The following is a 13279-nucleotide window of genomic DNA, read 5'->3' as shown; positions in this document are numbered from 1 at the left end:
GTCCAGGCTGGAGTGCAGTGGCACAATCTTCGCTCACTGCAACCTCTGCCTCCCGGGTTCAAGCAGTTCTCCTGCCTCAGCCTGCTAAGTAGCTGACACTGCAGGCGTGCACCACCATGCCTGGCTAATTTTTGTATTTTTAGTAGAGATGGGGTTTCACCATGTTGGCCAGGCTGGTCTTGAACTCCTGACTTCAGGTGATCCGCCTGCCTCGACCTCCCAAAGTGCTGGGATTTACAGGCATGAGCCACCAGACCCGGCCTACTTAAAATTTTCAAATGAAAATAATTAGTAGCAGTTTACAATTTGTGCATTTTTATCTTTGGCTCACAACTTATAAGCCTCATATATTGTTGTGGGCATGAAAAATGGTACAACCACCTTGGAAAAAGGCCTGACAGTTTCTTATAAAATGAAACATACACCTGTCCTGGAACACAGTTTCAATCCTGGATACTTAGCTAAGAGAAATAAACACATGGGCCCACATCAAGGCCTACAGGGAGGTGATCATAGCATATTTTTTTTTCTTTTTAATTGAGACAGGGTCTCCCTCTTTTGCCCAGGCTGGAGTGCAGTGGCACGATGTTGGCTCACATCAAAGGAGTTTTATTCATAAAAGCCAAAAGTGAAATGGCCCAAGTGTTCATCAACAGGTGAATGGACAAACAACCTATTGTACATTCACACAGGATGATGACAGAAAACAGTTCAGCAACAGAAAGGACTGAATATTGCTGCATGCAGTAACATGAATGAAGCTTAAAAACAGTATGCTAAGTGAAAGAAGCCAGATAAAAACGGATATATGTCATATGTTTCTGTTTATATGAAGTTCTAGAACAGGGAAAGTAACTTACGGTGGGGAAAACATCAGAAGACTGGTTGCCTTTGGAAAAGGTAGAGCAGGGGCAGGACTGACACTGTGACACTGAACAGACAGAGGGAACTTGCAGGAGGGTGGACATGTTCTAAATCTTGATATCTTGATTTGGGTTTCATAGGTTTAGGCATGTGTTAAAACTCATTGAGTGGGCTGGGCGCGGTGGCTCACGCCTGTAATCCCAACGCTTTGAGAGGCTGAGGTGGGCAGATCAGCTGAGGTCAGGAGTTTGAGACCAGTCTGGTCAACATGGTGAAACCCCGTCTCTACTAAAAATACAACAAGTAGCAGGGCATGGTGGCTCATGCCTGTAGTCCCAGCTACTCAGGAGATTGAGGCAGGAGAATTGCTTGAGCCCGAGAGGCAGAGGTTGCAGTAAGCCAAGATTGTGCCACTGCACTCCAGCCTGGGCAGTAGAGTGAGACCCTGTCTCAAAAAAACAAAAAACAAAAACAAAACAAAACAAAACAAAAAAACAAAGAGAAAAAAATTGTAGATTTTACATGAAGAGAATAAATTGTAAAGAAAGCTTGAATTATAGTAATAGACATGCTGATGAGTTTGGAGTGAGGTGTACTGATGTTTGCAATTTATTCCAAAGTACAGTAAAATGTGAGAAGGATTAATATAGATGGATTAGAAGGATAGTTAGACAGGTAGATATGTGATAAAACATGTATAGTAATATGTTAATGTTACCATATGACCCATCCATTCTACTTTTAGCTATATACCAGAGAAAATTGAAAACATATGTTCACATAAAAACGTGTACACAAATGTTGATAGCAGCATTATTCATGATAGTCAAAAAGTGCAAACAACTCAGATGTTCATCAGCTGATAAATGGATGAATCAAATGTCGTATACTCATACGATGGAGTATTATTCACCATAAAAAGGAATGAAGTACTGATACATGCTACAAAAGGAATGAATGTTGAAAACATTATGCTGAGTGAACAAATCAGACAGGAAAGGCAACATATTGTGTAATTCTATTTATATGAAACGTCCAGAATAGACAAATCCATAGAAACAGAAGGTAGATTAGTGGTTGCCAGGGGATGGGAGAAGGGGGGAATTAGGACTAACAGCTAATGGGTAAGAGTTTTCTTTTTGGGGTTATAAAAATGTTTTGAAATTAGTGGTGATGTTTGTACAACATAATGAATATACAGTACTAAAAACTATTGAAGTGTACACTTTAAAATGTTGAATTTTATGTTATGTGAAATATATCTCAATTTTTAAAATACTAGGATCTAGGTGTTGGGTAACAGGGTATTCTTTCAATTTTGTTGGCTGTTTGAAAAATTTTACAATAAAGTGTTAGAAACAATAAGCCATAGAAAAGGGGAAATTGGCTGGGTGCAGTGGCTCAGGCCTGTAATCCCAGCACTTTGGTAGGCCGAGGTGGGTGGATCATGAGGTCAAGAGATCGAGACCATCCTGGCTAACATGGTGAAATCCCATCTCTACTAAAAATACAAAAATTAACTGGGTGTGGTGGCGCACACCTGTAGTCCTAGCTACTCTGGAGGCTGAGGCAGGAGAATCGCTTGAACCTGGGAGGAAGGCGGAGGTTGCAGTGAGCTGAGATCACGCCACTGCACTCCAGCCTGGCGACAGAGTGAGACTGTCTAAAAAAAGAAAAGGGGGTCTGGGCGTGGTGGTTCACGCCTGTAATCCCAGCACTTTGGGAGGCCGAGGCAGGCGGATCACGAAGTCAGGAGATTGACACCATCCTGGCTGACACAGTGAAACCCCATCTCTACTAAAAGTACAAAAAAAAAAAAAATAGCCGGGTGTGGTGACATGCTCCTGTAGTACCAAGTACTTGGGAGGCTGAGGCAGGAGAATGGCTTGAACCTGGGAGGCAGAGGTTGCAGTGAGCTGAGATCGTGCCACTGCACTCCAGCCTGGTGACAGAGTGAGACTCTGTCTCAAATTTAAAAAAAAAAAACAACAACACACACACACACACACACACACACACACACAAAATTAGCTGGGCATGGTGGTGGGCACCTGCAATCCCAGCTACTTGGGAGGCTGAGGCAGGAGAATCGCTTGAACCTGGGAGGTGGAGGTTGCAGTGAGCCGAGATCATGCCCTTGGGCGCCAGCCTGGGCAACAAGAGTGAAACTCCATCTCAAAAAAAAAGAGAGAGAGGTTACGGGACTCAAACTGAGATGCTAAGAGATGAGGATGAGATATTAAACACCTCTCAGTAGGCCAGGTGCAGTGGCTTACATCTGTAATCACAGCAGTTTGGGAGGCTGAGGGGGGCGGATCACCTGAGGTCAGGAGTTCGAGACCAGCCTGGCCAACATGGTGAAATCCCATCTCTACTAAAAAAAAAAAAAAAGAAAAAAACATTAGCTGGGTGTGGTGGCAGGCCACTGTATTCCCAGCTACTTGGGAGGCTGAGGCAGGAGAATCACTTGAAACCAGGAGGTAGAGGTTGCAGTGAGCCGAGACTGTGCCACAGCACTCTAGCCTGGGTGACAGAGTGACACTCCACCTCAAAAAATAAAATAAAATAAACGTATCTCAGTAGATTAGCAGCTGAGGAAGCCATGGAAGGCAAAAGTTAAAAATGTCCTGAAGCTGCTGACTGGGCAGGAAAGATAAACCACTGGTTAGACAGTGGGGAGTGGGGGTGGGAGTTAGAACAGTTGGGTCTGGAAGCCAGTAGTTAAAATGACTAGATGGCTTCAGAGCTAACACTGATGGAGCAGTGTAGAATGTTTTGCTATCTGGTGCAATCTCGGCTCACTGCAGCCTCCGCCTCCGGACTCCAAGCGATTCTCCTGCCTCAGCCTCCTGAGTAGCTGGGATTACAGGCACCCGCCACCATGCCTGGCTCATTTTTGTATTTTTAGTAGAGACGGGGTTTCACCATGTTGGCCAGGCTGTTCTCGAACTCTTAACCTCAAGTGACCCGCCCGCCTTGGCCTCTCAAAGTGCAGGAATTATAGGCGTGAGCCACTGCACCCGGCCTTTTTAAAGTATTTTTAACACAGCATTGCCTGAGGATATTTTGTCATTTATAAAAGGAGAAAGGTCTCTAGGTTAGGGAGATAGTTCAGAGGGATGCACCCCTCAGGTTGGAGGCTGGAATAGTGTACCGGGTTGAGTAGCTTCCCCTAAATTTCTATCTACCCAGAACCTGTGAGTATAACCTTATTTGGAAATAGCGTCTGTGCAGATGTAATCAAACTAAAATGAGGACATACTGGATTAGGGTGGGACCTAATGAGGGGACTGGTATCCTTACAAAAAGAAGGAAATTTGGACACAGACACATGAGGAGAACACCATGTCAAGCATGTTGCCACAAACCAAGAAACACCAAGGACAGAGAAGCATGAGATTATTTTTTTATGGTTACAGCTCAGGCTGGCAGCTCAGTGATTGAGAACCTCTGTGATGGATGTTGGGTCATGACAGACCCAGCAAGATCTACCATTACAACAGGAATCAAGTGTGAATAGGCCAAGCACGGGGCTCATGCCTGTAATCCCAACACTTTGGGAGGCTGAGGCCGGGGTATCACTTGAGCCCAAGAGTTGGAGACCAGCCAACACAGCAAGACCCCATCTCTATCCCCTGCAAAAGAACGAGGAGATGGGAAGACAAGGGGTCAATAAATCTCTCATGGGGTGTGTGTGTGTGTGTGTGTGTGTGTGTGTGTGTGTGTGTGTATGCATATATATATATATATATACATTTTTTTGAGACAGGGTCTCACTCTGTTGCTTAGGCTGGTGTGCAATGGCACAATCATGGCTCACTGTAGCCTCCACCACCTGTGCTCAAACAATCCTCCCACCTTAGCCTCCCAAGTAGCTGTAACCACAGGTGTGCACCACCACACCTGGCTAATTTTTGTGATTTTTTTTGTAGAGACAGGGTTTCGTCATGTTGTCCGGTCTGGTCTTGAAGTCCTGGGCTCAAGTGTTCTGCTCAGCCCATCCTCCCACAGTGCTGGGATAATAGGTATGAACCACCGTGCCCGGCCCCCTCATGGTATGTTGATCATAGGTAAAAGACGGCCATGTTAGGACCAAGTCTCAGGGACCATGATGATGACTCCATGTAGGCTGAAGCAGTAAGTTCTCCCATTTCTGGGACTGTGCCATCCTTGCTACCTGGGTGACAATGGGAATGGAAAAGTAGATGCTCAAACTTGCCGCATGATTGCTTGTAGGTGTCTGGAGGAGGCAGTCTTTTTTTCTTCCTTTTTTTTTGAGGCAGAGTCTTGCTCTGTCACCCAGGCTAGAGTGCAGTGGCGCCATCTTGGCTCACTGCAGAGGAGGCAGTCTTAGATCCGCAGAAGCATGGTGTCCATATGGATGCCTGGGACAGCTGTGGTATCGACAGAGCTGTAAGTCAGGAGACACATGGTTGGGTATCATCATTCAGTATTTTTTTTTTAAGACCAGTCTCACTCTGTCACCCAGGCTGGAATGCAGTGGCTAAGTCATGGCTCACTGCAGCCTCAACCTCCCAGGCTCCAGTGATCCTCCCACCAGTAGCTGGGACTATAGGCACTCACCACCATGCCTGGATAATTTTTGTATTTTTTGTAGAGACAAAGTCTCACCATGTTGCTAGCCTGCAGTATTTTTTTTTAATTCTAGTTTTACTTATTTGAGTAGACACTACAGCCACATAGTTCAAAAGTCAAAAGGCAAACTATACTACATGTGTTGTGTGTCTTTTCAAAGATAGTTTATTTATTTATAGTCTGCCTCCATTTTACACAAGTAGTAGCTATAGCAGAGGCTGCTGTTTGCCTCCCAATAACCACTCTCCTCTTTAATAAACCCCAAATTGTAGCTGTACCAGAACCATAAGAACCCATCTCTATCCCCTGCAAAAGAACAAAGAGATGGGAAGACAAGGGGTCATTTGTCATCTTCTCTTGCAGCCAAATGGGGCCATGTGATTAAGTTCTGGTCAATGAAATATAAGTGGGCTATGTATGTATATAAATATATATATATATTTTTTGAGACAGAGTTTCGCTCTTGTTGCCCAGGCTGGAGTGCAATGGCTCAATCTCGGCTCTCCACAACCTCTGCCTCCCGGGTTCAAGCGATTCTCCTGCCTCAGCCTCCCAAGTAGCTAGGATTACAGGCATGCTGCCACCATGACCGGCTAATTTTGTATTTTTAATAGAGACGGGGTTTCTCCATATTGGTCAGGCTGGTCTCTAACTCCTGACTTCAGATTATCTGCCTGCCTCGGCCTCCCAAAGTGCTGGGATTACAAGCGTGAGCCACCGCGCCTGGCCAAATGGGCCATATTATGTGATACCTTTGGAAAGTAACCCTGTGAGGAAGGGGGCAAGCCTGTCTCTTTTTCTTTTATTTTGTTGCCTGGATCTTTTGAAGGCCCCAGACATGGTCCTGGACTGCCTACCTCTGGATCTTTTTTTTTTGAGATGGAGTTTTTGCTCTCATTGCCCAGGCTGGAGTTCAGTGGCCCGATCTCGGCTCACTGCAACCTCCGCCTCCCAGGTTCCAGCCATTCTCCCACAGGTGCACCACCACACCCAGCTAACTTTTTGTATTTTTAGTAGAGATGAGGTTTCATCATATTGGCCAGGCTGGTCTTCAACACTTGACCTCAGGTGATCTGCCTGCCTTGGCCTCCCAAAGTGCTGGGATTACAGGCGTGAGCCACCGTGCCTGGCCCTGTTTGTTTGTTTTTAAAAACACATTTTTTGCTTTCAGCTTTTGGCTCAGAAGAGGCCAAGGTGCAACTTTCTTTGGTCGTCCTGAATCCAGGTTCATCCAATACCAGCCGCCTCCACCATGCCGCCGAAGTTCGACCCCAACAAGATTAAAGTCGTATACCTGAGGTGCACCGGGGATGAAGTTGGTGCCACTTCTTCACTGGCCCCCAAGATCAGCCCCCTGGTTCTGTCTCTAAAAAAGGTTGGTGATGCCATTGCCAAGGCAACAGGTGACTGGAAAGGCCTGGGGATTACAGTGAAACTGAACATTCAGAACAGACGGGCCCAGATTGAGGTGGTGCCTTCTGCCTCTGCCCTGATCATCAAAGTTCTCAAGGAACCACCAAGAGACAGAAGAAACAGAAACACATTAAACACAGTGGGAATATCACTTTTGATGAGATCATCAACATTGTTTGACAGAGGCGTCACCAATCTTTAGCCAGAGAACTCTCTGGAACCATTGAAGAAATCCTGGGGGACGGGCACGGTGACTCACGCCTGTAATCCCAGCACTTTGGGAGGCCGAGGCGGGCGGATCACGAGGTCAGGAGATTGAGACCATCCTGGCTAACATGGTGAAACCCCATCTCTACTAAAAATACAAAAAAATTAGCCGGGTGTAGCGGCTTGCACCTGTAGTCCCAGCTGCTGGGGAGGCTGAAGGGAGGCTGAGGCAGGAGAATGGCATGAACCTGGGGAGGCGGAGCTTGCAGTGAGCCCAGATCGCACCACTGCACTCCAGCCTGGGTGACAGAGCAAGACTCCGTCTCAAAAAAAAAAAAAAAAAAAAAAAATCCTGGGGACTCCCTAATCTGTGGGCCATAATGTTGATGGTCGCCACCCTCATGACATCACAGATGACATCAACAGTGGTGTTGTGGAATATGCCCAGCTAGTGAAGAAGCACAAAACAAAATATTTCAATAAAGGATCATTTGAACAAAAAAAAAAACAAACTTTTTTTGGCTGGGCGTGGTGACTCACGCCTGTAATCCCAGCACTTTGGGAGGCCGAGGCAGGTGGATCACGAGGTCAGGAGTTCGAGACCAGCCTGACCCACATGGTGAAACCCCATCTGTACTAAAAATGCAAAAATTAGCCAGGCGTGGTGGTGTGCACCTGTAATCCCAGCTACTCAGTAGGCTGAGGCAGGAGAATTGCTTGAACCCGGGAGGCAGAGGTTGTAGTGAGCTGAGATCGTACCACTGCACTCCAGTTTGGGCGACAGAGCGAGACTCTCTCAAAAAAACACAAAAAACACAAAAAACAAACATTTCTAAAAATACAAAAATTAGCCGGGCATGGTGGTGCATGCCTGTAGTCCCAGCTACTCGGGAGGGTGAGACAGGAGAATCACTTGAACCCGGGAGGCGGAGGTTGCAGTGAGCTGAGATTGCGCCACTGCACTCCATCATGGGCAACAGAGCGAGACACCATCTCACACACAGAAAAAAGTATACAACTGAATGGTTTTTAGATATTTACAGAGTTGTGTAACCATAATCTAATTTTAGAACATTTGCATCACTCCTAGAAGAAACTTTGTACCCACTAGCTACATTGGATATTTATTTTATTCCTGGTACCCTGAAAATTGCTTTAAGGATATTATTTCAGTTAGTCTTCCAAAAACCTCTGAATTTGGTATTATTATTCCTTTTCATGGATAAGAAAACCAAGGCCCAGAAATAAGTAAACTTGCCCAGAATTACACATATTTCTAGTGCCAGGCCCAGGATTCAAACTCAGTTTTGATAGATGCCAAAGCCTGCCCTTCTCAAACCACTACCCAGATGCCATAACCCAGCCTCTGGAGTCTGGTCTTTTAGCTCTGCCTTATTATGTTCCTCAAGGCACACTGATTCTTTCTTCAGTGCCTCAGCTGGTGGTTCTATTTCGGTCCTACTGCCCGATGCCCTTAATGTTTTTTTGGCCAGGTTCATGCATCTTGGGTCAGAACCCCGGCCTCTTTCCCTTTAATCCACTCTTCTGACAGATCAACTTCCTAATGCCCAACCCTGCTCAGGTTACCCACGGCCTCCCCTCTGAACAGGTCCACATGGCCTCTGGAGTAAACTCTTCCACTCCTTAACACAGTGTCCAGAACTCTCAGGGGGGCTTGCCCTGGTCCACTCCTCCAACTTTATCTTGTCCTCCACCTCCACATAAACCTTTTGTTCGTGTCAACTGGGCCCTTGCCAGCTTTCAAAAACATCTTACATGTTCCTATCACCCCATGTTTGTTCCTGCTCTTTGTGTAGAGAATGCACTCCCTGAATTCCACCCATCTAAATCTTAGTCCAGCTACAAACCTCCTCATGCAGCTATCTCTGCTCTCACCAAGAGTCAGTGGTTCCTCCCACTCTCCTTCTTCCCACTCTCTTTGGTTCCTCCAAGTGAGCCCTTACCACATACCTCCTTTCTATAGTGAGTTGGGCTGGTCTAGACTGTCAGATCCATGAATCTAGAGGTTAGGTTCCTCTGATTTGCCAGGCCTGTGTCGCTTGCCCACTCCTGTAGCCAGAAATGGGATCAATGCCACTTAAAACACATGGACTGAGGATAAAGGAGCATAAAGGAGCAGAGAACCTCTACAGAGATGCTGCATGCATCAGAACAAAATCCTATGTCCAATATAGGCAGGATGTGTTTTTTCCATAAGATCTAAATAATCTCATTGTTTCTATGCATTTTTTTTTTTTTTTTGAGACAGAATCTGGTTCTGTAGCCCAGGCTGGAGTGCAGTGGTGTGATCTCGGCTCACTGCAACCTCTGCCTCCCGGGTTCATGCAATTCTCCTGCCTCACCCTCCCAAGTAGCTGGAACTACAGGCACCTGCCACTACGCCTGGCAAATTGTATTTTTAGTAGATATGGGGTTTCACCATATTGGCCAGGCTGGTCTTGAACTCCTGACCTTGTGATCTGCCCGCATCAGCCTCCCAAAGTGCTGGGATTACAGGCATGAACCACCGCGCCCGGCCAGGAATCTTTGGTTTGATTCATTTGTTCCTTTATTCATTCAACAAATAGTTGGCTAAGTAAAGCCAAATGTGTCACTTGACCAGCCTTAAAATAAAAAAGATCCTTTTTTTTTTTTTGAGATGAAGTTTCGCTCTTGTTGCCCAGGCTGGAGTACAATGGCGCGATCTCAGCTCACCACCACCTCTGCCTCCCGGGTTCAAGCAATTCTCCTGTCTCAGCTTCTCAGGTAGCTGGGATTCCAGGCTCATGCCACCACGCCCGGCTAATTTTTGTATATTTAGTAGAGATGGCACATTGGTCAGGCTGGTTTCTAACTCCTGACCTCAGGTGATCTGCCCACCTTGGCCCCCCAAAGTCCTGGGATTACAGGCGGGAGCCACTGTGCCTGGCCGAAAGATTCTTAAGTCATGAAGCTACACTCCAGTAGAAGACAACACCACTCAAGCAATCATATAAACACATCTAGAAATGCAGCAAATGTGAAATGGCAGCCTGGGACAGAGTTCTTGAGTTCTCCAGAAGTTGTTTAGGTTTCCTAATCAAAATGATTATGTGGAATTATGTTAACTGGGCAACAAGCATTTTCTTTCACAATTGGAAGCGGTCCTTATTCCAGGCCGGGGGTGGTGGCTCACGCCTGTAATCCCAACACTTTGGGAGGCTGAGGCTGGTGGATCACCCGAGGTCAGGAGTTTGAGACCAGCCTGACCAACATGGTGAAACTCCATCTCTACTAAAAATATAAAAATTAGCCAGGCATGGTGGCAAGTGCCTGTAATCTCAGCTACTTGGGAGGCTGAGGCAGGAGGATCCCTTGAGCCCAGGAGGTGGAGGTTGCAGTGAGCCAAGATTGTGCTACTGCACTCCAGCCTTGGGGACAGAGTGAGACTCCATCTCAAAATAAATAAATAAATAAACAAATAAATTCACATATTTCAGAAGAGGTAGTTTTGTATTTAATTCACATTAAAGTGTAAGTGAATGAACAAAAGCAGCTCTTTTGATAACTCTGAAAGAAGGTAAGTCCTATGGATGGGAATGACTAGATCCCTGGATGGGGATGTGTAAGCCTAAGGAGCTGAAGGACAATTTCCTTTATTTCTGATTTTTTTTTTTTTTTTTTTTTTTTAGACAGGGTTTCACTCCTGTCACCCAGGCTGGAGTGCAATGGTGTGATCTCAGCTCACTAAAACCTCCACCTCCACGGCTCAAGCAATTCTCCTGCCTCAGCCTTGAGAGTAGCTGGTACTGCAGGTGCAAGCCATAGCACCCAGCTAGGTTTTGCACTTTTTTTGGCTGGACGTAGCGGCTCCCGCCTGTAATCCCAGCACTTTGGGAGGCCGAGGTGGGCAGATCACCTGAGCTCAAGAGTTCGAAACCAGCCTGGCCAACATGGTGAAACCCCGTCTCCATTAAAAATACAAAAATTAGGCCAGGGGTGTTGGCTCATGCCTGTAATCCCAACACTTTGGGAGGCCGAGGCTGGCAGATCACGAGGTCAGGAGATCGAGACCATCCTGGCTAACATGGTGAAACTCCGTCTCTACTAAAAATACAAAAAATTAGCCGGTGTGGTGGTGGGCGCCTGTAGTCCCAGCTACTTGGGAGGCTGAGGCAGGAGAATCGCTTTGAACTTGGGAGGCGGAGGTTGCAGTGAGCTGAGATCTCGCCACTGCACTCCAGCCTGGGCAACAGAGCGAGACTCCATCTCAAAAAAAAAAACACCCACATAAATTAGGCCCAGCGCAATGGCTCATGACTGATTGCCTGAGGCGGGCAGATTGCCTGAGGTCAGGAGTTCAAAACCAGCCTGGGCCACATGGTGAAACCCCATCTCTTTTTTTTTTTTTTTGAGACAAAGTCTTGTTCTGTTGCCCAGGCTGGAATGCAGTGGCGCCATCTCAGCTCACTGCAAGCTCCACCTCCCGGGTTCATGCCATTCTCCTGCCTCAGCCTCCCGAGTAGCTGGGACTACAGGTGCCCGCCACCATGCCCAGCTAATTTTTTGTATTTTTTAGTAGAGATGGGGTTTCACTGTGTTAGCCAGGATGGTCTCGATCTCCTGACCTTGTGATCTGCCCGACTCACTGGGATTACAGGTGTGAGCCACCACGCCAGGCCGGTGAAGCCCCATCTCTACTAAAAATACAAAAAATTAGCTGGGTGTGGTGGTGCACTCCTGTAATCTCAGCTACTCAGGAGACTGAGGCATGAGAATTGCTTGAACCCAGGAGGTGGAAGTTGCAGTGAACTGAGATCGTGCCACTGCACTCCAGCCTGAGTGACAGAGCAAGACTCTGTCTCAAAAAAGAAAAAAGAAAAATGAAATAAATAAATAAAAATTCTGTTTTTTGTAGAGACAGGGTTTGCCATGTTGCCCAGGCTGGTCTTGAACTCCTGAGCTCAAGTGATCCACCTGCCTCGGCCTCCCAAAGTGCTGGGATTACAGGTGTGAACCACCATGCCTGGCCTTACTTTCTGATTTTGAATGGGGGAATCTTTGAAGCTGACTCTGAAGCCTCCATATCTAGAGGACAGAGAGGTGGGGAAATATTAGTGCCTTTCCTGACCTTCATCCTACTTCCTAATCACTATAGAGACTTTATGTGCAAAATTTCTCTTCATACCAAAACAAACTCCATGAAAATGGGTTACAGTGGTAGGAAAAAGGGATCTGTGCATCAGTTCACAAGACCATGGAGGCAACATCCAACGTAGTGGGCTCACAATGTACTGGCTTGCTCTTGACTATCACAAATGTGTTACTGCTTTGAAACTTCCCACCAGCCCCTGTGGCCTTCTGACCTGAGGCCTGGGTTAGGGTCTTAGTTTGTTCTCTGTTGCTTATAGCAGAGTTCCTGAAACCGGGTAATTTATAAAGAAAATAAATTTATTTCTTACAATTATGGAGGCTGAGAAGTTCAAGGTCAAGGGGCTGCATCTGGTGGGAGCCTTCTTGCTGATGGAGACTCTGTGAAGAGTCCCAAGATGGTACAGGGCATTACATGGCAAGGAGGCTGAGTGTGCTAGCTCAGGTCTCTCTTCCTCCTCTTTCTTTTTTTTGAGACGGAGTCTCGCTCTGTCATCCAGGCTGGAGTGTAGTGACGCGATCTCGGCTCACTGCAAACTCCGCCTCCCGGGTTCACACCATTCTCCTGCCTCAGCCTCCCGAGTGGCTGGGACCACAGGTGCCTGCCACCACGCCCGGCTAATTTTTTGTATTTTTAGTAGAGATGGGGTTTCACCTCTTAGCCAGGATGGTCTCGATCTCCTGACCTCGTGATCTGCCCGCCTCGGCCTCCCAAAGTGCTGGGATTACAGGCGTGAGCCACCACACCCGGCCTTTTTTTTTTTTAGACAGAGTTTTGCTCTTGTTGCCCAGGCTAGAGTGGAATGGCATGATCTCAGCTCACTGCAACCTCTGCCTCCCAGGTTCAAGCGATTCTCCTGCCTCAGCCTCCCGGGTAGCTGGGATTACAGGCACCCACCAGTACACCTGGCTAATTTTTGTATTTTTAGCAGAGACAGGGTTTCACCATATTGGCCAGGCTGGTCTCAAACTCCTGACCTCAGGTAATCAACCCGCCTCCACCTCCCAAAGTGCTGGGATTACAGGCGTGAACCACTATGCCCGGCCTCTCTTCCTCTTCTTGTAAAGC

The 13279-nt window shown here is 46.8% G+C and overlaps 1 pseudogene; it reads left to right on the top strand.

Annotated features, from left to right (window-relative positions):
• On the top strand, window positions 6625–7141 carry RPL12P27 (ribosomal protein L12 pseudogene 27; annotated as a pseudogene).

Source organism: Homo sapiens, chromosome 10 (assembly GCF_000001405.40).
Source record: "Homo sapiens chromosome 10, GRCh38.p14 Primary Assembly".
Lineage (NCBI taxonomy): Eukaryota > Metazoa > Chordata > Mammalia > Primates > Hominidae > Homo > Homo sapiens.
The sequence above is the reverse complement of the archived record's forward strand: the minus strand, read 5'-3'. Positions and strand labels throughout refer to the sequence as shown.